Source organism: Homo sapiens, chromosome 2 (assembly GCF_000001405.40).
Source record: "Homo sapiens chromosome 2, GRCh38.p14 Primary Assembly".
Taxonomy (NCBI): domain Eukaryota; kingdom Metazoa; phylum Chordata; class Mammalia; order Primates; family Hominidae; genus Homo; species Homo sapiens.
Genome location: NC_000002.12, coordinates 156,845,363 through 156,867,109, shown reverse-complemented (window position 1 = coordinate 156,867,109; position 21,747 = coordinate 156,845,363). Strand labels below are relative to the sequence as shown.

The 21,747-nt window shown below is 36.3% G+C and overlaps 1 long non-coding RNA gene across 1 annotated transcript in view, besides 1 other annotated feature; it reads right to left on the bottom strand.

Moving 5' to 3' along the window:
* Positions 1 to 1,403: 1,403 nt before the first annotated feature.
* LOC124907897 (uncharacterized) overlaps positions 1,404 to 21,747 on the bottom strand; it is a 77,991-nt gene continuing 57,647 nt past the window's right edge. Inside the window, exon 2 of the long non-coding RNA XR_007087269.1 lies at positions 1,404 to 2,987. This is a non-coding gene — a long non-coding RNA (uncharacterized LOC124907897). The remainder of the gene's footprint in view (positions 2,988 to 21,747) is intronic.
* Positions 2,036 to 2,994: an enhancer, noted in NCBI's record as "VISTA enhancer hs662". NCBI's record gives its function as "enhancer in: hindbrain (rhombencephalon)[5/7]" and the evidence as "EXISTENCE:transgenic organism evidence [ECO:0001131][PMID:17130149]".

Here is a 21,747-nt window from a genome sequence, read left to right as displayed (position 1 = left end):
TATAAAACTGTTGCTCCTTGAAACTGCAATTCTAATTCACTCACTTATTCACACTAAATTATCATATTGGTAAGGAAACTTCCCTTTGCATTTCTGCTATGTCCATTGTTTTCAGTTGAAAAATCTCACATTCATACTGTGAAATGGGTTAATAGTGTACTTATGCTTTAAGAAATGTGTCAAAATAACAATTCTGTGAAATAAGACCCTAGCCATACAAAATAGGAAATATGAAATTATCAATGAGAACTCTGAATGTGTAAGACAGTCTATTTATTCATTATGCATTTCCAACCCTGTAAATGTTTACCTTAACTTCCAGTGAAAGAATGCTCAGAGCCCAGGTAAAGCCAACTTGAAGTCAAGACTCGCTCACAAGTTTGTGAGATTTCCTAGAATACAGAGGTTCAAAACACAATTGCCACTTATCTGAAGGCTTTTCCAAAACCTTAGCAGTTAGATGTGTTACATGTGCACAATCAGATTTTTTTGAGAATTTGTACAAATGGAATCCATGGGCCATTTCTCTATATCTCCACATTATATTTATAGCATTCTATGTTAACTAAACGTGTTCTTTTCACAAATTCTCTCTTCTGTCACTTGCACATTTGGGCAGCAGCCATTACCGTAAGCTGGTTTCAGGAAACTCAAATATGTGAAACGTAAAGGATAAAAAATCTGGCCACTTTTTCCGGGCTCAGGTTTTAAGCGTGTGAACTTAATCCTTGTGTTCTCTGGGTTCTCCTCCTTCTGCCAGTCACAATTTCTAATTAGCTTTCCCAATGGAGGAGGAAGATGAATTATATTTTAATATCTAGAGACTAAAATTAGTTTATATTTTAGCAAGTTAGCACTTCTTAGCAGTTGATTTACTCTTGAAGCTGCAAAATCTGTGAGCTTGCAATTAATCATACGTTGGTCATTTTCTTTCAAAAATGTTCAGTTTGGCTGTCTGTATCATAATAGGGAAAACATGTAATTTATGCAGTTTAGAAATTATAGCCTTGTGTTTAACTATGTCATAATATATTTTCTCACCCGCTCATTGTTCTTAACACTGTAAAAGAATGTCATTTCACTGGGATTTATTTAAGCAAAACCTTTAAAGTGAGAACTCTGGCAAAACAGTAACCTCTTGGAGTTGTGCTTTATTTTTCTTTAAATGGATGCTTTCAGGACTTGTTTTGACCACTCTTGATTTTGAGGCAACTTTTAAAAATAATTTTTTAAACAGAGGATCATATTCTTGGCTTTCTTTTTGCAATAGGAGTTCTTTATCTTCTTAAAATGGTCTTTAATATTCTCATGTGCATAACACATGTAAAAGTATTCTGTTAATATGCACAGAATACACAAAGCAACTCCCCAGTGGCAGTGTGATAATTTAAAGACACTATAAATTCAAAGGAATAGATATCTTTTAATTCACTGAATATTTAAAAAACCAGGCACTTAGTTGAAAATCAAAAACAGTACATATTTTAAGCAGTTTCCCCAACTAACCTCTGCCAGAAAATTAACCCAAAAACTGTTTGACATCCTTGAATAGTATATCAATGTTGCCAGCATACTGATCGCTCACTGTGATCTGAAACAAATCAATTAGCTTGCCAATTGTGTTCATTAGAATTCATTCATATCTCTATAAAAAGTTAATTAAAAGTAAGAGTGAGAAAGAAATCATGCCTAACATTCTTATTAAAACCAAATCACCAAAGTAATTTCAAATCTAAATCAACAATCATTACTAAAATTCTCCCTCCAAAAGGTACAATATACCTGAAGAAATAAGTGACAACCTATAAATCTTTGATAAAGATTTCCAAATTAAGATGCCTATTCTATTATTGTTGTTATTATTCTGTTTTATTTTAAAATTAATATTTTATTTTATTGCTAATTGTCTTTGACTATGAAAGATGTCTCTTTTTTGGCTAAATGCCTGAATTTTGCTAGCACAGGTGAATGCTAAAACTAGCACTGTACCTCGTTTTTCAAGTAACTCAGCTTAATATAGCATCTTAAAATGAATGGCAACACAGAATAACCAGAGGAACATAGCATTCTAAGCCAAAAGAAATTATCTTGATATAAGGACCATAGCATATAGAAACCAGCTGCCAAAACAGAAACCAGGCGACAAGCCGCAGCTTTCTAATTCCGAAAAGAGACTCTACTCCTAACGTAATATCTAAATGCCTCTGGTAGAGCTGTTAAAAGCAAAAAGTGTTTGAATGTGAAATGTTCTGATTATAACACGAAGCACTCTCCCAGCCTCTCTATTTCCTCCATATTGGGTAAGGTATCCATTTCTTTTGTTCCAGAGTCCAAAATGAGAGCCCATGTGAGGGTAGAAGAATCTTCCTGACAAGCCACGGAAAGCTTTAGACTAATTTCATATTCAGTTCTTGGCACTGAGGTCTGGGTGGAGGTGGGCAGGTCCACCCTGCCTTTCAGTCTCATTAATCATTTGGCTTTCCCTGGCTGCTCGCAGCATCTTCTGGAGGAACCCTTCTCTTTATTCATTCAGACAACCCTTTGGATTAAACAGAGCCAGCTAAATGTCAAAGCAAATCTGAGTCTTGATGCAGATAATCATTTCAATAATATTTCTCCATTTGTGCCCAAACACCAGGGGAATAAAGCTTTTCTGCTGTCAGGTACTGTAAGACTACAGTTGGTGTAAATGCTTGACACTGAGCCAGATGGCTTAGCCGTGCCTCAAACATATGTTCAACAAGCAGGCTTGCACACATTGGAATTTTATTATTTTGAACTGGTGAGGCTTGCATATTTATTTACTTGACCCCCTTTGGTGTCACTTTGGTATTAAAACAATCAGTTATAAAGCTTCTCCAAGCAATAGGGTAGGGCTAGTTTATAAACTACTTGTCAGTTTCATATCACCACCTGCAGTGAAGTATTCCTCATCTTGTGGTCTCCTCTTGATAATTTAAAGAAAAAAGATGGTAAGGTCCATGTGGCTGAAAGAAGAAGAAAATGGGAATTGAAGGAGAGAATGCTGGTTTACCCCAAAGATAAAGATGAATGTGCCCTTTTTTAACCAACTCTTTACATGACCTGGGGACAAGTAATTTTCTCACGTATTGCCATGTATTTAATATATATTCACTCAGAAAATCTTGTCTGGGCTTCAAGGAAATCAGCCATTAAAATATACAACTGCATGTACCTTCCAAGATATCAGCTGTAAATCAATCTCTCTCTATATATGTGTACACATATATACACACAAATACAGGTATATAGGTATACACATATCTATGTGCATATGTGTATATACATGCTTATACATAATCTATGTATGTATACACACGCATTCACACCCACTATCATATATATGTGTATGTTTATGTGTGTGTTAAAAATAAAAACTCATGGCATTGGACTTGTCAGGGAAGAGTTTGCAATCATTACAAATATTCATCATGCTGCTAGTATGTTCATCAAAATAAAACTTAAGTTGTTTTATATTTAGTGGAAAATATATTACAGAAAAATTAATTTCATATTATTTCATAGGTTTTAATTCAGTGTTTAAAAAAAAAGACCAGAAAACAGGCATCGAAAGCTATGAGCACAGCAAATGTAATATGAAGGTTTCAGTGTATAGATTCTATCCTATGGAAATAAATTTCTGCCTATAATGACATGGTGTCTAAAAAATTTTAGAGTTCATCAAGTCCAACACTCTCATTTAGTAGAAGAAAAATTCAGGCCCAGGGACATTTACTGACTCACCCCAAATCACCCAGCAAGTAAGTGTGCATGAGAACAAAAACCCAAGACACACTACCCTACATTTTTCTGTGTTATGTACATTTGCCCTTCTACCAAAGTAAACATTTGCTGAACAATTGGCTATATTACAAGTGACCTGCTGGGAGACATAAATCTACCTGATATAGAATGCTCCTAGGACAGTGGTTCTCAACACTATCAGACCCAACATACTCCATATTATAATAAATATGCTGTAATGCCCCATTATTACCCTAAACTAAAATTCACAGGTAATTGAACTTACCTACACAAATAATTTTTAAATGTCAATTCAATACCCTAAGACATCAATTATAATACAAAAAATAAATGAGAAGAAAGTAATTTATGGAATGTGTGTGTGTTTGTATGTATGTGTGTGTATGCATGTGTGGGTTTGTATGTATGTGTGTGCATGTATTTCAATATGTTAAACACTTGGAAACAATTACTAGATAATATAGTGACCTCATTAGATATTTGCTCCTTTAAGAAAAACTGCCATTAATACACAGCTATAAAACACAGAGTATTTACTCATCACTGGATGTTACTGATGATTGACAGGATTTTCCAAAATGGTGAGCTAAAGCTTATCAAATTATATGCACTGAATTTTTTTATTATTTTGATTAGTCTTATAGATGTTTTCTGTCTTCATAGAAAATTTTGCACATATTAAAATGATGCCAATGTACTTTGTTTTAATATATAATTGAGATAAATCCTAGACTTAGATTTTCAGTAAGATTTTCTACTTCCAAAATGTCTACCTGGAAGAATATTTAAAGGTCATGCAGTATTCAGGACAGTTCTTCCTTGTAAGGACTGCCTATGCAGTGCAAGATATCTAAAATCCTGCCTTCTGTCTAGTAAATTCCATTAGATCTTCTCAATAACTGCAACGACCAACAGTGTCCCCATTATTTTCAGAATGACCCAGAGTAGAATCCTTATCATAGAATATTGCATGTGGGCTCTCTTTAGCATAAGAATCAAGACAACCAATATCAAAACCATAAAAAAGTTATGTATAAACAGTATACAATTTAAAATGAATTATTAATTTTAAACATTATATTTCCTTGAATTTATAGTCTTTGTACATTTTCACAGAAAAATTTAATTTTAAAATGCTAAGCTTTAGATTGTGTCTTTGCAAACAGATAACACAATTTCAAAATCAGAAATCCTAAACTAACATTAATATAAAATATAGCTTAATTTAAAATGTAACTCATATTTAATATTGGTTTAATTTTATTTTATAATAACCAAATTCTTAAAAATAACATTAATTTTTTTGCAAAGGCAACATGTTATTTTTATGTAGATATGGATATTAAATAAACACTATTTACTCATAATATTGAGTTTATATGAGGTTTTTGTGTCAGTCTAGGGAAACAGTACAAGTATCTTTGGAAATGAAAGATAATACCTACACAATTGCATCTTTATATTGGCCTATGATTTAGTTAAATCAGATTCAATAATTCTAGACTTTCTGAATTCTTAATTGACCAGGAGGCTGAGAATTCCTCTTATATGTGATCAATTTCTATTATGGGCTTATGGATGAATTTTATTAATTCACCTCTGTATCAGCAACCTGTCTCACAATTCTTTAGAGACTATCTCACTATGTATGTAGTTCTGACACATCACAAACTATAATATATATTATTTGTCCATTTTATTTTTTGGATTGTTTAACTGTCAGTTGCAATATCCTTCCATAAAAGAACATAAAGTCATCATCTGGCTCTTATTCTCACAAACAGTTATATATTTACTGTGTGTGAAAGATCTCTACCATGTTCAGGAGACAAATAGGCACAGTTAAAGAAAAATAGTCCATTTCTATGTCATGATGATTCTGTACTGAAATGTATAGTATAGCTTTTTCCTTTGAAAAATCACTTCAAGTCATTTGGCCAGGCGGGGACTGCAAAACACAATGGAAAATTACAAAATACAAGAGCATTCATAGTACAGTATTTTGCTAAGGCTCCAGCAAACCATTTTCTAACCAAACTAACAATAAAATCACTGTGATTTGGAATAGGAACAAGTTGTAGAAACATCTTTTACTTCCTACTGTACTGCAGAATAGATTATGCTTTTTTTTAAAGAGTTGAGGTCTCTCTCCATCTCCTAGCCTAGAGTGCAGGGGTGCGGTCATAGCTCCCTGCTGCCTCAAACTCCTGGGCTCAAGCGATGATGCCCCCACCTAAGCCTCCTGAGTTGCTGGGATTACATGTGTGAGTCACCATGCCAGGCTCTAGATTACTATTTTTCTGAGGTTCTTCTCGTAATAATATGCCCAATCCTACAAATGAAACTTGTTTCTCCCAATCAAAATTGCAGGCTTCACACAAGAAATACCCACTTGCAGTAGGAGAAAGATGGGGTTAAATTTAAAAGAGGCTTTGTTGCTGGGGCAGCAGTAGTTTAGTAAGAGTTGCATTAATAAGCATGTCTAATTCATTCTCTACCTAGTAGGTAGGTAAGTAGAAGAGGATGATTTTGAAATGTGGAAATCAAAAATGACAGAGAGAAGCCTCTAGTCTATTGTTTCGTAAACACAGTCCTCTCCTTTTCACTCACAACCAAGTTGTCAGGATGAATACCCAAATCCAAAGTGCTGAGAGGAGAGATCAGAAAAATCACTGGAATGTGAGTACGTATGTAAACACAAACAGCTGATACCAGGTGATGCAGTCCTCGCTCTGATGTTAGAAGAATCCATGGGGATGGTATTTTATACAACCACATGATCAGAAAGAACATATAGATGAGATTTCAGAGGACTTGGAGCTGGGGCAGACCCTTTAGTGCAGTGCTTCTCATTTATGTATGTGCTATTTATTCAAAGATCTGGCTAAAAATACGGATTCTGGTTCAGCAAGTCTGTGGTGTGGCTGAGATTCTGCTTTTCTAACAAGCTCCCAGGTAATCTTGATGCTGCTGATCTGTGGACCATACTATATGTAGCAAAGCTTTAGAAAGCCTCAGAAACCTTAACACCTTTCCTTAGGATTGGGAAACTGATGGAAAAAATGCAACATTGTGAAGTACATGCAAAGAGAAACTCATGAAGGGAATGATGGTGAGCACAAAGAAACAGAGACCTTGTAAGGTTAACATCATACATCAAGAACAAAGTGCAACAGGTAAATAAAAGTCACCATCCTCCTGCCTAAACAGAAAAATAAAAACCATCAAGCAGTTTGATGCAGTGCATAAATGTGCAAATGCGGTGACACAGGGCAAGATGAAAGATGGCAGCAGCAGAATAGCAGTTAAGACAGAATGCCTTTGTCATATACTTTCTAAACCTCGCCTAAAAAATTTCACAGAAAAGTAGACAATACTATTACAAAAGTAGGTAAGTAATTTGTGGATGATGAGTATGAAACAAAGGCAAATATATACACACACATATATATGAAAACATATAAACAAAGGCAAATATATACATATATAGTATATACATATATGTATGTGCCTTTGGTTCACACTCATCATCCACATATAGACATATACATGTATATATGTATATGTGTATATACATATGTGTATACATATACATATATACAAATACATATATGCATATATGTTTATACATATGTATGCATACACACATATGTATATAAAATGTATAGACATATATAAGAACATATCATCGCCATATAAATATATGCATATATTGTTATATATACACATATATAGTTTATATGCAACAACATATGTGTATATATACACACACATATGTATTAAAATGTGTATATGCATATACATAAAAACTAAGTTTCTACTGTAGGCTCTAATGGCTAAAAGATTTTATCTATCTCTAGAGAGGAATCATTGCCAGGTAAATGAAAATTCACCCCATGATACCATATATAATAGATTAGTTTTATAGATGCCTAAGATAATGCCCTATAATAGTCCTGCTGCATTTAAATACTTTATCTTCAAATGGTAATGTTCAAAGTTCTAAGTTTAAGGAACCTTTCAATCAATGTTAGAAGAAAATATCTGAACAAGCAATATGAGACCTCACTAGACAATTTTAAAAATTGCATTTGCTGCTATAAACATAAGTGTGCATGTGTCTTTATAGCAGCATTTCATAGGTGGGAATTGAACAATGAGAACACTTGGACACAGGAAGGGGAACATCACACACCGGGGCCTGTTGTGGGGTAGGGGGAGCGGGGAGGGAAAGCATTAGGAGATATACCTAATGTAAATGACGAGTTAATGGGTGCAGCACACCAACATGGCACGTATACATATGTAACAAACCTGCACTTTGTGCACATGTACCCTAGAACTTAAAGTATAATAAAAGTATATATATATTTAAAAAATTGCATTTGCCTACTCACCAGTCATATCAAGGTTTTTGAGGGAACCGTTTTCAAATGAAGTTTATTGGCTACTCAGACTATAGAAAAATGCATCACTTCTGACCAAAATTTTCCACTAATCACGATTTGAAAGGATGTCATACCAAATAATATACGGCTTAAGTAGGACTGAGACCTTAGGCATAATTAGGCACTACAAAATTTTATCATAGTTTTTACTCTAAAGGAAAGTAATGGGCTGGGTGTGGTGGCTCACGCCTGTAATTCCAGCACTTTGGGAGGCCAAAGCGGGCGGATCACCTGGGGTCAGGAGTTTGGGACCAGCCTGGCCAACATGGCGAAACCCCACCCCTACTAAAAATATGAAAATTAGCCAGGCATGGTGGCATGTGCCTGTAATCCCAGCTACTTGTGAGGCTGAGGTGGGAGAATCTCTTGAACCTGGGAGGCGGAGGTTGCAGTAAGCTGAGATCGTGCCACTGCACTCCAGTCTGAGCAACAGAGTGAGACTCTGTCTCAAAAAAAAAAAAGTAATGAATTTTGAAAGCCCCTGAAATCTGAGTTTGAGTTCATCTGTTACATAATTAGGATATGGTTTTAAAACAACAACATTAGTAATTAGTTTAAATGCTAGGTCCATATCTCGTTAACCACTTATATGTAGAAAATATTTCTGAATGAGGCAATAACATGCACAATGATATATAAATAAATATTTTTTATGCTAAAACAACACCAATTTTGCATTGGTTAGTTCTTATTAACATTTTAATACAGGAGGGCATCCCTTATGTTCTTTGGTGAATACAATTCATTCGTTTACAAAATATTTGGCTGTGATCTGAAAAAATTATAAATGAGTAATTGGGTAAGAGTCTAATTTGTGATGGATAAAACTACATTATTTAACATTTATAAACAAAAAGTCTTGTAATATACATTTTTAAGATAACCTTAAATTTTACTCAATAAATCACTTACAGCTTGAGAAAATCTAGCACATATACTTTGACTCACCTACATAAAGCTCAGGAAAAACTAAAATAAGTGGGGGGGGAAGGGCATGTTTTTAAAAAGAACAGGGAGCAAAGAGTTCTTTCTGAGATTGAAATAAACTGTCCTCCCAAAATGTGCAAAGCCATTCTTTCTCAATTACTCTCATTGACTCTAGGAAAAATTATGAAACTACTTATGTTAACAGCTAGATAATCCTCTCAATTTAGCTCTTATTTCTTTATTGATGTTTGGAAACTTTATTGATGTTTGCAACCCATACTGGCTTTCTTTTTTTTTTTTTTTTGAGACAGACTCTCACTCTCTCGCCCAGGCTGGAGCGCAGTGGCGGGATCTCGGCTCACTGCAACCTCTGCCTCCTGGGTTCAAGCGGTTCTGCTGTCTCAGCCTCCTGAGTAGCTGGAATTACAGCCTCGCACTACCACGCCCAGCTAATTTTTGTATTTTTAGTAGGGATGGGGTTTCGCCATGCTGGCCAGGCTGGTCACCAATTCCTGACCTCAAGTGATCCACCCACCTAGGCCTCCCAAAGTGCTGGGATTACAGGCGTGGGCCACCACGCCTGGCCCTGGCTTGCTTTATTGGTTTTGTAATGGTATGAAACAACAGTTGCAACCTAAGGTATTAAACAGTAACTAACTGTAGCCTTTCAAGGTCTGTGTTTGTTTGTTTTTAGTACATACGGTTTGGCTCTGTGTCCCTACCCAAATCTCATCTTGTAGTTCCCATAATTCTCACCTGTGGGGACCTGGTGGGAGATAATTGAATCATGGGGGCAGGTCTTTCCCGTGCTGTTCTCATGAGAGTGTATGGGTCTCATGAGTTCTGATGGTTTTAGAAACCTGAGTTTCTCTGCACAAGGTCTCTATTTGCCTGCTGCCATTCATGTAAAATGTGACTTGCTCCTCCTCGCCTTCCATCATGATTGTGAGGCCTCCTCAGCCATGTGGAACTGTAAGTCCAATAAACCTCTTTCTTTTGTAAATTGTCCAGTCTTGGGTATGTCTTTATCAGCAGCATGAAAATGGACTAATACGGTAAATTGGTACCAGTAGAGTGGGGTGCTGCTGAAAAGATACCCAAAAATGTGGAGGCAACTTTGGAACTGGGTAACAGGTAGAGGTTGAAACAGTTTGGAATGCTCAGAAGAAGACAGGAAAATGTGGGAAAGTTGGGAACTTGCCAAATACTTGCTGAATGGCTTTGCCCAAAATGCTGATAGTGATATGGACAATGAAATCCAGTCAGAGGTGGTCTCAGATGGAGATGAGGAACTTGTTCGGAACTGGAGCAAAGGTGACTCTTGTTATGTTTTAGCAAAGGGACTGGTGGCATTTTGCCCCCGCCCTAGAGATTTGTGGAACTTTGAACTTGAGAGAGATGATTTAGGGTCATCTAGGGACCTCCATCTAGGGAGGGACCCAGAGGAGATGATTGAATTGTCGGAGCAGGTCTTTCCTAGGCTGCTCTCGTGATAGCAAATGGTTCTCACGAGATCTGATGGTTTTAGAAATGGGAGTTTCTCTACACAAGCTCTCTCTTTGCCTGCTGACATCCATGTAAGATGTGAATGTGACTTGCTCCTCCTTGCCTTCTGGCATGATTGTGAGGCCTCCCCAGCCATGTGGAACTGTATGTCCAATAAACCTCTTTCTTTTGTAAATTGCCCCGTCTTGGATATGTCTTTATCAGCAGCATGAAAATACAGTAGACAAGTTATTTTACTGATACGAATATCATGATCATATAAAAGCAAGCACTCATGGCTTTAGGAAAAACAATTAAAAACCTTCAGCCCATGAAAATATTGCTACCCTGTGTAAATGTTATAGGGGTAAAAAAAAGCCTATGGACCAACTCCTGTAACTCAGGTTTGATCCAGCTCTCAACGGCATTCCACAAGCAGTATATTTACACAGCCAGAATCTTTTAGAGTACGTTTTGGGTTGCTGGATTGTTCAAGACTACTCTGAAACATCTTCCCCAAAAGTAGTACATGTGTAACTACAGCAAATACATCTCAAATCATTATACCTCAATTGTTTCTAACATTCAGTCCTTTATTTAGACATTACCAAAGCTTTAGATTCTAAGATGCTGACTTGAAACTCTATGAGTACGATCAAGGAGATGACAGGACAAGAGATATGGGGAGAAATGGGTGTGCCTTTTGGGAAGAGATCCTAAGGGAGGGGCTCATGTGTATTAGGGATGCTGTCCTTTGTTTCTGATACATTTTTTGGGGTACTTGCATTTTTCTGTGAATTTAAATATAACTTTTTCTCTGCTGGGGAAGTAGCTATGATTTGCAGTTAAAATAAGAAGTAACATTAAAAGGAAATTCACAGTCTTGATAAACTTGTTTATCTTTCTATTATCTGATTTTACTGGTGGTATTTCATTTGGGTAATACATAACTTTCTAAAATAATTTGTTTCCATTTTACCTAAAAGGAGTATATTAATAAGGAATCTTTCCTCAAGAAAATTTTTAAACTTTTTTTCCATTGAAAAATAACTAGGCAGTAAAATTCCAAATCAATAGTATACTCTTACCATAGAATTATAAATGTGAATATAATCGTGTGCTCATTTAAAATATATGTAAATGAAAGTAATATTTTAGAGTTTCTCTCTCAAGAGAATGCCAGCTTCTAATTAAGATTACAGATGAGTAGGCTCTGCCATCACCACCTCTCCCAATAGACCACTGCATGTTCTGTTATTGTTCCCTCTTCCTTGCTCCCCTTACCAATTCATGTACCTTATTCTATCAATGCTTCTTTCTCAGTGTATCTGGAATCCACCCATTCTCCTTCATTCTCACTCCATAGCCTACTTGATGTTCTTTGAACACCCTCAATCTAGACTACTGCAATAGTTTCCTAATGAGTTCTCAATGGTTTACCCCCTTCCAAAGTTCTTTAGAGTTGATTTCATTTTATGATTCCCACTGAGTAATCCTATCTTGAGGATAAACCTGATAGCTCTTATCCTGGCATTAAGGGACTAACACAGTCTAGATCCAAAACACCCTTCCAATTTATCTTCTAGTATTTGTTTTCTTTGCTCTTGCCATATTCAGTATATCTGAAATATAACATACGCATTCACACCTTCATAATTTAGTTCATGGATGTGTGTGTGTGTGTAGGTGTGGAGAATTTCCTCCCCCAATCATTTGTGATCCTTTGAAATCAGGAAAGATTAACTCATTTTCCAGTTCATCCATGTCTTATTCATCTCCCCTATATACTGTGCTATCTCTTTTTTGTAAAGTCCCATTACAAGGCTATTTGTAAATTATTTACTATCTGGGATTATCACTCACTATTTTCCACTGAAAGTTTTTCTTTAGCCAACAAAATTAAAAGTTTGAAGTCACGGGTGGTGTACCTTATTTACCTGCCTAGGACTTAACTTTGTTATGCATATAGTAGCTACTCAATAAACATATGTTTTAATCATGAGGCAAAACGGCAGAGCAAAAGCCTTTGATACAACTGTATCAAATTTTCAAGAGATGTTTGCTATAAAACTGACTACACTGAGCAGATATCTTCATATTCGATTATATTTTTAAATATGCCATAAAACATATGTTAAAGTGAATGGCACTTTGGTAATATGCTTAAATGTCCACTGAATTATATACTTTTAAAATTTAGATGTTCATATTTCATCATTGGTAATATACCTATTATTTACTTGGCAAGAGTAAACTAATTGGGAGAAAAGTTTTCTGTAAGCCAAATAAAACTAATACCAAATTTACAGTATAAATATTAAAAATAAGAAACTGTCGTAATTACAAGTAAAAGAGAATACTTAAATCAGACCATATCAGTAGAAGCTAAGTAATAAAATAACATTTATGAATTTAGCACTGTTTCACTTACAGTGTTTTTCAAAAATATTTCAAGGTATGTGCTCTGTGTTTCAATAGGGAGCTTCATGTTCTTCATAGAAAATAACTATATTAACAAATATAACATGGCTCCTGTAAGTATTACTTTGTTCCCAAGCACTTACTATTTGCTTGCCATTTGGTCCTTGCTATTGTTATTGTTCTTACTATTTTCTTTTACTTTTTAACTTTTCTTTTAGGTTTAGGGGTACATGTGCAGGTTTGTTATATAAGTAAATTCATGTCACAGGCATTTGTTGCACAGATTATTTCATCACCCAGGTTTTAGGCCTAGTACCCAATAGGTATTTTTTCTGCTCCTCCCCCTCTTCCTACCCTTCACCCTCAAGTAGGCGTCACTGCCTGTTGTTCCCCTCTTTGTGTTCTTGAGTTCTCATCATTTAGCTCCCACTTATTAGTGAGAATATGCTGTATTTGGTTTTCTATTCTTGCAAAAGTTTGCTAAGGATAATAGCCTCCAGCTCCATCCATGTTCCTGCAAAAGTCATGATCTTGTTCGTTTTTATGGCTGCATGGTATTTCTTACTGTATATGTCACATTTTCTTTATCCAGTCTGTCATTGATGGGCATTTAGGTTGATTCCATGTCTTTGCTATTATGAGTAGTGCTATTTTCAATCTTTATTATTTTACTTAGAAGTTTTTGCAATTCATAAAACAGTTCATTATATAAAGCTAGTTATAACTCTATTATCTAATTAATATATACTATAAGACATCATCTATCCAGAAATGAAGGATTTTTACTCTGTTTTATTCCTGCTCTCTTATTTCAGAAAGATATATATGTTATCTTTAACGATCAAATCACAGTTAATGTCTAGAGAAAAGTTACTCCCATAGTAACTAACTGGATTTCCAGATGATTTTACTGTTAAGACTTATCTACTTCTAGCTTAAATAGACATTCCATCTTGAATTTAAGGGTAAATATGGAAGTGCTGACTGCTGGGAGGTGCACAATATGAGATATTAAACTCATCTGACAATGGTTGCAAATGATTTCCATGAACAGGTTGCAGCATGAAGTGGTGATGTTCTGACTAGAAATCAAAGGATCTAGGTGCAGCTCTTCCCTCCCATTCTAGAGGACCTTGGGCAGCTTTGAGACAGGATGTTATGTATGAAATGGCAACTGAGTACCAGGATATGAAAAATATGAAATTCCAGAAGCAGGGCCTCACCTTATGAGCAATTGTCAAGAGCTGTTTCAGGTCTCTTGAAATTCCTCACCCACTCTGAAAATAAGAAAGCATTGAGAGTGGATTTCAAGAGGGTAATTCTTTAGCAGGAGATGCTACCAAGCTCTGGGTCTCATTGGGAGTGGGCTGAGTTGTCTGCCTCTCACTTTTTATCTAGGGGGAAAAAAAAGGCTTCACTAGGAGCGTTCAGAGATTTTAATGGGGTCTTCAGCAGCTTGGGGCCCAGTAGGAGGCTGCTATCTGACATATATTGAGAAATCTTAAGGTAAGCAGCTGTGTTAAAGCCCTGAGGTTGTGAATTGGAGAAAAATGGAGGCCATTTGGGGTAGAAAATGCCTCCTACCCATTACGACCGCAGAATGTATGAGTGCTTCTCACTCATTGAGCCAAGAAGGATTAAGAACTGACCTGAGCCACTTCAAATTCTGTCTGGCATGCCACTTAGAACTTAATATGGAGAGGCTCATGGAAAGACCAGAGCCTAGAGAAATGGCTGCTGAGGCTACAACTAAAAGGCCTAGCATAGGGAGACCCCGAAGAACCCACAGAACTTCTCAGGCAGGAAAATCGTCTATGAATAGGACCAAGAATCAAAGAGTGTGAAACAATCTTACATAATACTAATATACTTTCTGTGCCTTCTTTTACTTTCTCCCTCTCTGCATACTGTCTTTGGAAGAGCCAGAAACTGCTTTGCAAATGGAGGGTGAAGAAGCAGAAAATGAAAGAAGATACCAAGTGTGCCCAATCTGCAGGTGTCAACATCTATCTAAAATCATCTCCAATTAAAAGATTCGAAAAGATTTAATTCTCAGTCAACTTAGGAACTCGGTGTTCTAATGCCAAACTGAGGCTGTTTTGTGAGTTAAAGGAAGCATAGAGCTTATCATTGACTATAAAAATTATGAAGTCCCCAAAATTTTCTTCCAGTAGTAGAACAAATATATGTCCCATACTTTGAAAGGTGAGGAAAACAAAATGAATTTTGATTACATTTCCCCAGTTGTGCCAGCTCAACACACAAGTCACACTACTTAATTTGTCTAGCTCTCAGCTTCCTTATGTATAAAAGAAGTGTGGAGAAGCTGTTTTAAGAATTAAATATTTTATATCACAGAAGTCTGTCTTTTCTGGGAGGTGGGAAGGGAGGACGAGGTGCAAAATCACATTTCATGAAATTAGTTCAACCCTGATAGCAAAGCCTGATTAAAAAAGCCTTGTGCACACACACAACTGAACACCACAAATCAAAATTTTATTAATGACATAAAGATAAACATCCTAAGTAAATAACAGTAAATTGAATTCAAAAGTATATTTAAAAATAAGCCATAATAAGTTACATGTTATTATGTAATTGCAAAGATCAATCAACAAAAATTGACTTGCTAATATATCATATAAATTAGATGCTATTAAAAATTTAATAAAAGTAAACCAAGATGTCTGATTTTAAAATAAGTAAATATTCTGTAATGTAAGTGAAAAGATTTCTTTTTAGAACATTAAATACTATCTATCTAATACTGCAGACAACGTCATATGTATTGTTAAGACTCAAAAGAATTACTATGAGGCCAGGCGTGGTGGCTCACGCCTGTAATTTCAACACTTTGGGAGGCCAAGGCAGGTGGATCACCTGAGGTCAGGAGTTCAAGACCAGCCTGGCCAACATGGCAAAACCCCGTCTCTACTAAAAATACAAAACTTATCTGGGTGTGGTGGTGCACGCCTGTCATTCCAGCTATTCAGGAGATTGAGGCACTAGAATCCCTTGAACCCAGGAGGTGGAGGTTGCAGTGAGCCGAGATCATGCCACTGCACTCCAGCCTGGGTAATGAAGTGAGACTCTGTCTCAAAAAACAAAACAAAACAAACAAAAAAAAGAATTACTATAAGTCAGAGGAATAGATAAGAGTTTCTGTTATCAATTCAACATTCTATGTTGCTCTGGCAGTTCTAGGCAATGCTATAAAAAAATACAGGCACATCTCAGGGATATTGCAGGTTTGGTTCTGTACTGCTGCAATAAGTTGAGTTGCACAATTTTTTTTTGTTTTTTAGTGCATATAAAAGTTATGTTTACACTATACTATAGACTATTAAGTGTGCAACAGCTTAGCAATGTCTAAAAGAACAATGTACATTCTTTCATTAAGAATACTTTATTGCTAAAAATTGCTAACAATCATTGGAGACTTCAACTAGTCATAATCTTCTTCCTGATGAAGGAGCTTGCCCTCATGCTGATGGCTACTGACCAATCAGGGTGGTGATTGTTGAATGTTGGGGTACCTGTGGCAACATATTAAAATAAGATAATATAATAAAGTTTGCCACATCAGTTGACTCTTCCTTTCACAAAGGATTTTTCTGTAGCATGTGATGCTGTTTGACAGCATTTTTCCCACAGTAGAACTTCCTTCAAAATTGGAGTCAATCCTCTCACACTGTGCTGCTGCTTTGTGAAACAACTTTATGTAGTATTCTAGATTCTTTGTTGTCATTTCAGCAATGTTCACAGCATCTTCACTAGGAGTAGATTCTATCTAAAGAAACTGTCTTTGCTCATCCATAAGAAACAACTTCTCATCCATTCAAGATTTTATCATGACACTGCAGCAATTCAGTTACATCTTCAGGCTTCACTTGTAATTTTAGTTCTTCTGCTATTTCTACCACATCTGTAGTTACTTCCTCGAAAGAAGTCTTGAAACCCTCATCAAAGTCATCCAGGAGGATGGGAATCAACTTATTTCAAGCTCCTGTTAATGTTAATATTTGTCCCCTCCCATGTATCACAAATGTTCTTAATGGCATCTAGTATGGTAGTGAATCCTTTTCATAAGGTTTTCAATTTACTTTGCCTGTATCCATCAGAGAAATCACTATCTATGGCAGTGATAGCCTTACAAAATGTATTTCTTAAATAATAAGACTTGAAGTTCAAAATTACTTCTTGATCATGGGCTACAGAATGGATGTTGTGTTAACAGACATAAAAAACAACATTAATCTCCTTGTACAGCTTCATCAGTGCTCCTGGGTGACCAAATGCATTGTCAGTGAGCAGTAATATTTTGAAAGTTATCTTTTTTTTTTTTCCTGAGCAGTAGGTCTCAGTAGTGAGCTTAAAATATTCAGTAAATCCTTCTATAAACAGATGTGCTGTCATCCAGGCTTTGTTGTTTCATCTATAAAGCACAGGCCATGTAGATTTAGCACAATTCTTAAGGGTCTTAGGATTTTTGGAACAGTAAATGAGCATTGGCTTCAATTGAAAGTCACCAGCTACATTAGCACCTAACAAAAGAGTCAACCTGCCTTTGAAGCTTTGAAGCCAGGCATTGACTTCTCTTCTCTAGCTATAAAAGTCCTAAATGGCATCTTCTTTTAACATAAGGTTGTTTCATCTACTTGGAAAATCTGTTGTTTAGTGTAGCCACCTTCATCAATGATCTTAGCTAGATCTTGTGAGTAATCTGCTGCAGCTTCTACATGGCACTTACTGCCTCACCTTGCACATTTTTTTTTTTTTTTCTGAGACAGTCTCACACTGTTACCCAGGCTAGAGTGCAGTAGCATGGTCTTGACTCACTGCAACCTCCACCTCCCAAATTCAAGTGATTCTCCTGCTTCAGCCTCCCAAGTAGCTGGGACTACAGGCACACACCACCACACCTGGCTAAGGTTTGTAATTTTTAGTAGAGGGGGGTTTTGCCATGTTGGCTGGTCTCGAACTGCTGGTCCCAAGTGATCCACCTGCCTCAGCCTCCCAAGGTGCTGGGATTACAGGCATGAGCCACTGCCCCCAACCACCTTGTACTTTTATGTTATGGAGATGGCTTCTTTCCTTAAATCTCATGAACCAACTTCTGCTAGCTTCAAACATTTCTTTTGCATCTTCTGACTTCTCTCAGCATGCATAGAATTGAACAGAATTAGAGACTTGCTCTGGATTAGGCTTTGGCTTATGGAATGTTGAGACTGGTTTGATCTTCTTTCCAGACCACTCAAGCTTTCTTCGCATCAGCAATAAGCTGCTTTGCTTTCTTATCTTCACATTTTCACTGGAGTAGCATTGTTAATTTCCTTCATGAAATTTTTATTGCATTCACAACTTGGCTGTTTGGCACAAGAGGCCTAACTTTTGGCCCATCTTGGTTTTTGTTTGTTTGTTTTTTGAGACAGGGTCTCACTTTGTCACCCCGGCTGGAGTGCAGTGGTGCGATCTCAGCTCACTGTAACCTCCACCTCCCAGGTTCAAGAGATTCTAGTGCCTCAGCCTCCCAAGTAACTGGGATTACAGGCACACGCCACCATAACCAGCTAATTATCGTATTTTTAGTAGAGACAAGGTTTCACCATGTCGGCCAGGCTGGTCTCGAACTCCTGACCTCAAGTGATCTGCCTGCCTCGGCCTCCCAAAGTGCTGGGATTACAGGCGTGAGCCCATCTTGGTTTTTCGCATGTTTCCCTCACTAAGTTTATTATTATTATTTTTTGAGACAGAGTCTTGCTTCCTTACCCAGACTGGAGTGCAGTGGCCTAATCATAGCTCAATGCAGCCTTGCCCTCCTGGGCTCAAGCAATCCTCCTACCTCAGTCTCCCAAGTAGCTAGGACCACAAGCATGCACCACCATGCTTGGTGAATTTTCATTATTATTATTGTTATTATTTGTAGAGACAGGGTCTCCCTGTGCTTCCCAGGCAAGTCTTGAACTCCTGGGCTCAAGCAATCCATGCTTCAACCTCAAAAATTGCTGAGATTACAAATGTGAGCCACTGCACCCAGCCAGTTTAATTATTTTTAATTTTTGATTAAAAGTGAGAGGCATGCAACTCTTTCTCTTGAACACTTAGAGGCCATTGTTGGGTTATTAATTGACCTAATTTCAATATTACTGTGTCTTAGGAAATAGGGAGACCTGAGGAGAGACAGAGAAACAGGGAAATGGCCTGTTGGTGGAGCAGTCAGAACACACACATTTATCAATTAAGTTCACCATCTTATGCAAACACAGTGACACCCCAAAATAATTACAATAACATCAAAGATCACTGATCACAGATCACCATAGCAGATATAATAATAATAATAAAGCTTGAAATATTGTGAGAATTACCGAAATGTGACACAGACATGAAGTGAGCACATACTTTTGGAAAAATTGTACCTATAGACTTGCTCAATGCAGGTTTGCTACAAACCTTCAATTTGTAAAACAATGCAATATCTTCAAAGCACAATAAAGCAATGTGCAATAGAATAAGGTATGCCTGTAAATATATTGGTTGGTGCAAATGTAATAATTAGCTATAAACAGAAAAAAATTATCATTACATTCAGTTATTCTTTTTTCTTTGATATCATTATTTAAAAGGTCACCCATCCAATTATTATTAAAATCGTTGTTTACGTATCTGAAAATTGTAATGTATCAGAAATGTATTCTAGAGGTAGTTATTGATCTAAATTTCATCTAAAAAGAGCAAGAATATTCATTGAATATTCATCTTTCCCTCTCACTAATTCAAAACCTCACCTATCACATACAAAATGTTGCCTACGTATCCTTGAATCCGTTTCTGGACTCTGTGTTCTCTTTCAAATGATCTGCTTCATTTTGAGTCAGCATTGATGTATGTTAGTTATTGTAGATTTGTAACTGATAAGAAAATCCGCCCATCCCTGAGGGCACTCTTCCTATTTAACCCAATAACTATTTCGAAGTTTTGCATTTTACTAATTGTCATAGGAGATTATTTGTTCTATTTATTGTTGCTAAATTCTGCTCAAATAATGTCTACAGTCCTGTTCATATTTAGGGCACTTACTGAAGATAAGCAAATGTTCCATGGATTCTTAAAAGAATTTTCTATAGGATGCAAATTTAATCAGCATCATTATCATTCCAATTTCCCATATCCTTATTTATTTTTAAATCTCTCAGATTTTCATTTTATTTTTAATAGTGTCTGTTTTATATGTGTGTGATTTTTTTCACATCTACAGCTCAGGGGTGTAAGAAATATAACTTAATTTTTTCCTAACTGAAATTAATTTTGCTCTCAAGTCTTCACTTTCCCTGATGCTGAAAACCTGCCAATTTAGGGGAATGCAGGCTCCTCCAGGTTAAACTCAAACTCTCTGGAATAAGGAAAATTATTTCTCTCTTCTCAGTTTATTTTTTTCCCTTCTCATCTTTTTCCTGGGGCATTTGAGCTCCCAAAGACTTGCATTTTTTTTTTTTTTTTTTTTTGCTCTAGTGGGTGGCATCTGGGCTTTGCCATTCTCTGTTTTCAGGGTCCACCACTGGGCTGGCTTGTTCTTCCTATCAACACTGGCTCCCGGGCTGAAGCCAGTCTCTGACTCACATTTGCATACCTCTTGACATGTAACTTGTAAAATTTCTTCAAGCATGTGATATAAACAACTTCTCTCAAGCTCTTTGGGGAACAAGAAAACTTTGGAGATTCTGCGAAGCTTGCCTGAGGCTATTTATGTGGACTCTCATTCAGACACTGTTATTCTGCTCTGTTATCACAGTGACCCAGGATTCAAGTCTCCCAGCCACACTTCAACAATTTCAAGGTTCAGCCTAAAAGCAGGGGCAACAACTGGTCACTCTTCAGAGGCCATAGGTGCCCCAGCTATTGTCCCATTCCCTCTGAATCTTCTCTTCCCATCTAGCGTTTGAATCCTTAGTAACTCTTAGGTAGAAAAACAACTAAAAATGCATCACGTGTTTATCTCAACCAAGTGGTTTCTGAAATAAACTCTATGATCTTAGTCATCCAGCCTTTTGCACTTAGTGTGTAATGTTGTATTTTGAGTATGGCAAACAAACACCTTCTTTTTCAAAAAGCCCAGCTGTGGCAAATTTCAAGTGATGACTTTCAAGAATATTGGCTCAGCCAATGATTTACAAAAGTCTATTTAGCAGCTTTACTATTTATCATAAAGTGGCAGTTTTGTAATATATTTTAAAATATGATGTGCTCTCCTTTTCACAGCAAAACGTGTTTCTACATGGTAAAACTTGAATGTCATTTAAACTGATGTGATTAAAAACTGAACAAAATGAAAACTACAGCTCTACTGACTTCTCTGAATTGTCACTCCAGAAACTTCCTCCAAGTAATATACTCTTCTCTAAATTTACTAACTTAAATTGTTTGATTTCTACTAACTTGATACCTTTTCTAAAACAATGTAGTCTACTTAATACCTCCTCTTCTAATATAATTTTCTCAGATTAAGAGATTAACACAACTAAATAAATAGCAAAGGAAGGGCAAATGATTTTAGAAAGCACACAAAGGAAAATATCTTGGTATACTCAATATTTCCAAAATTAATCCTTTCACATATATTACATTGCTGTGTTATTACACATAAACACACACACACACACATACACACACACACACAATT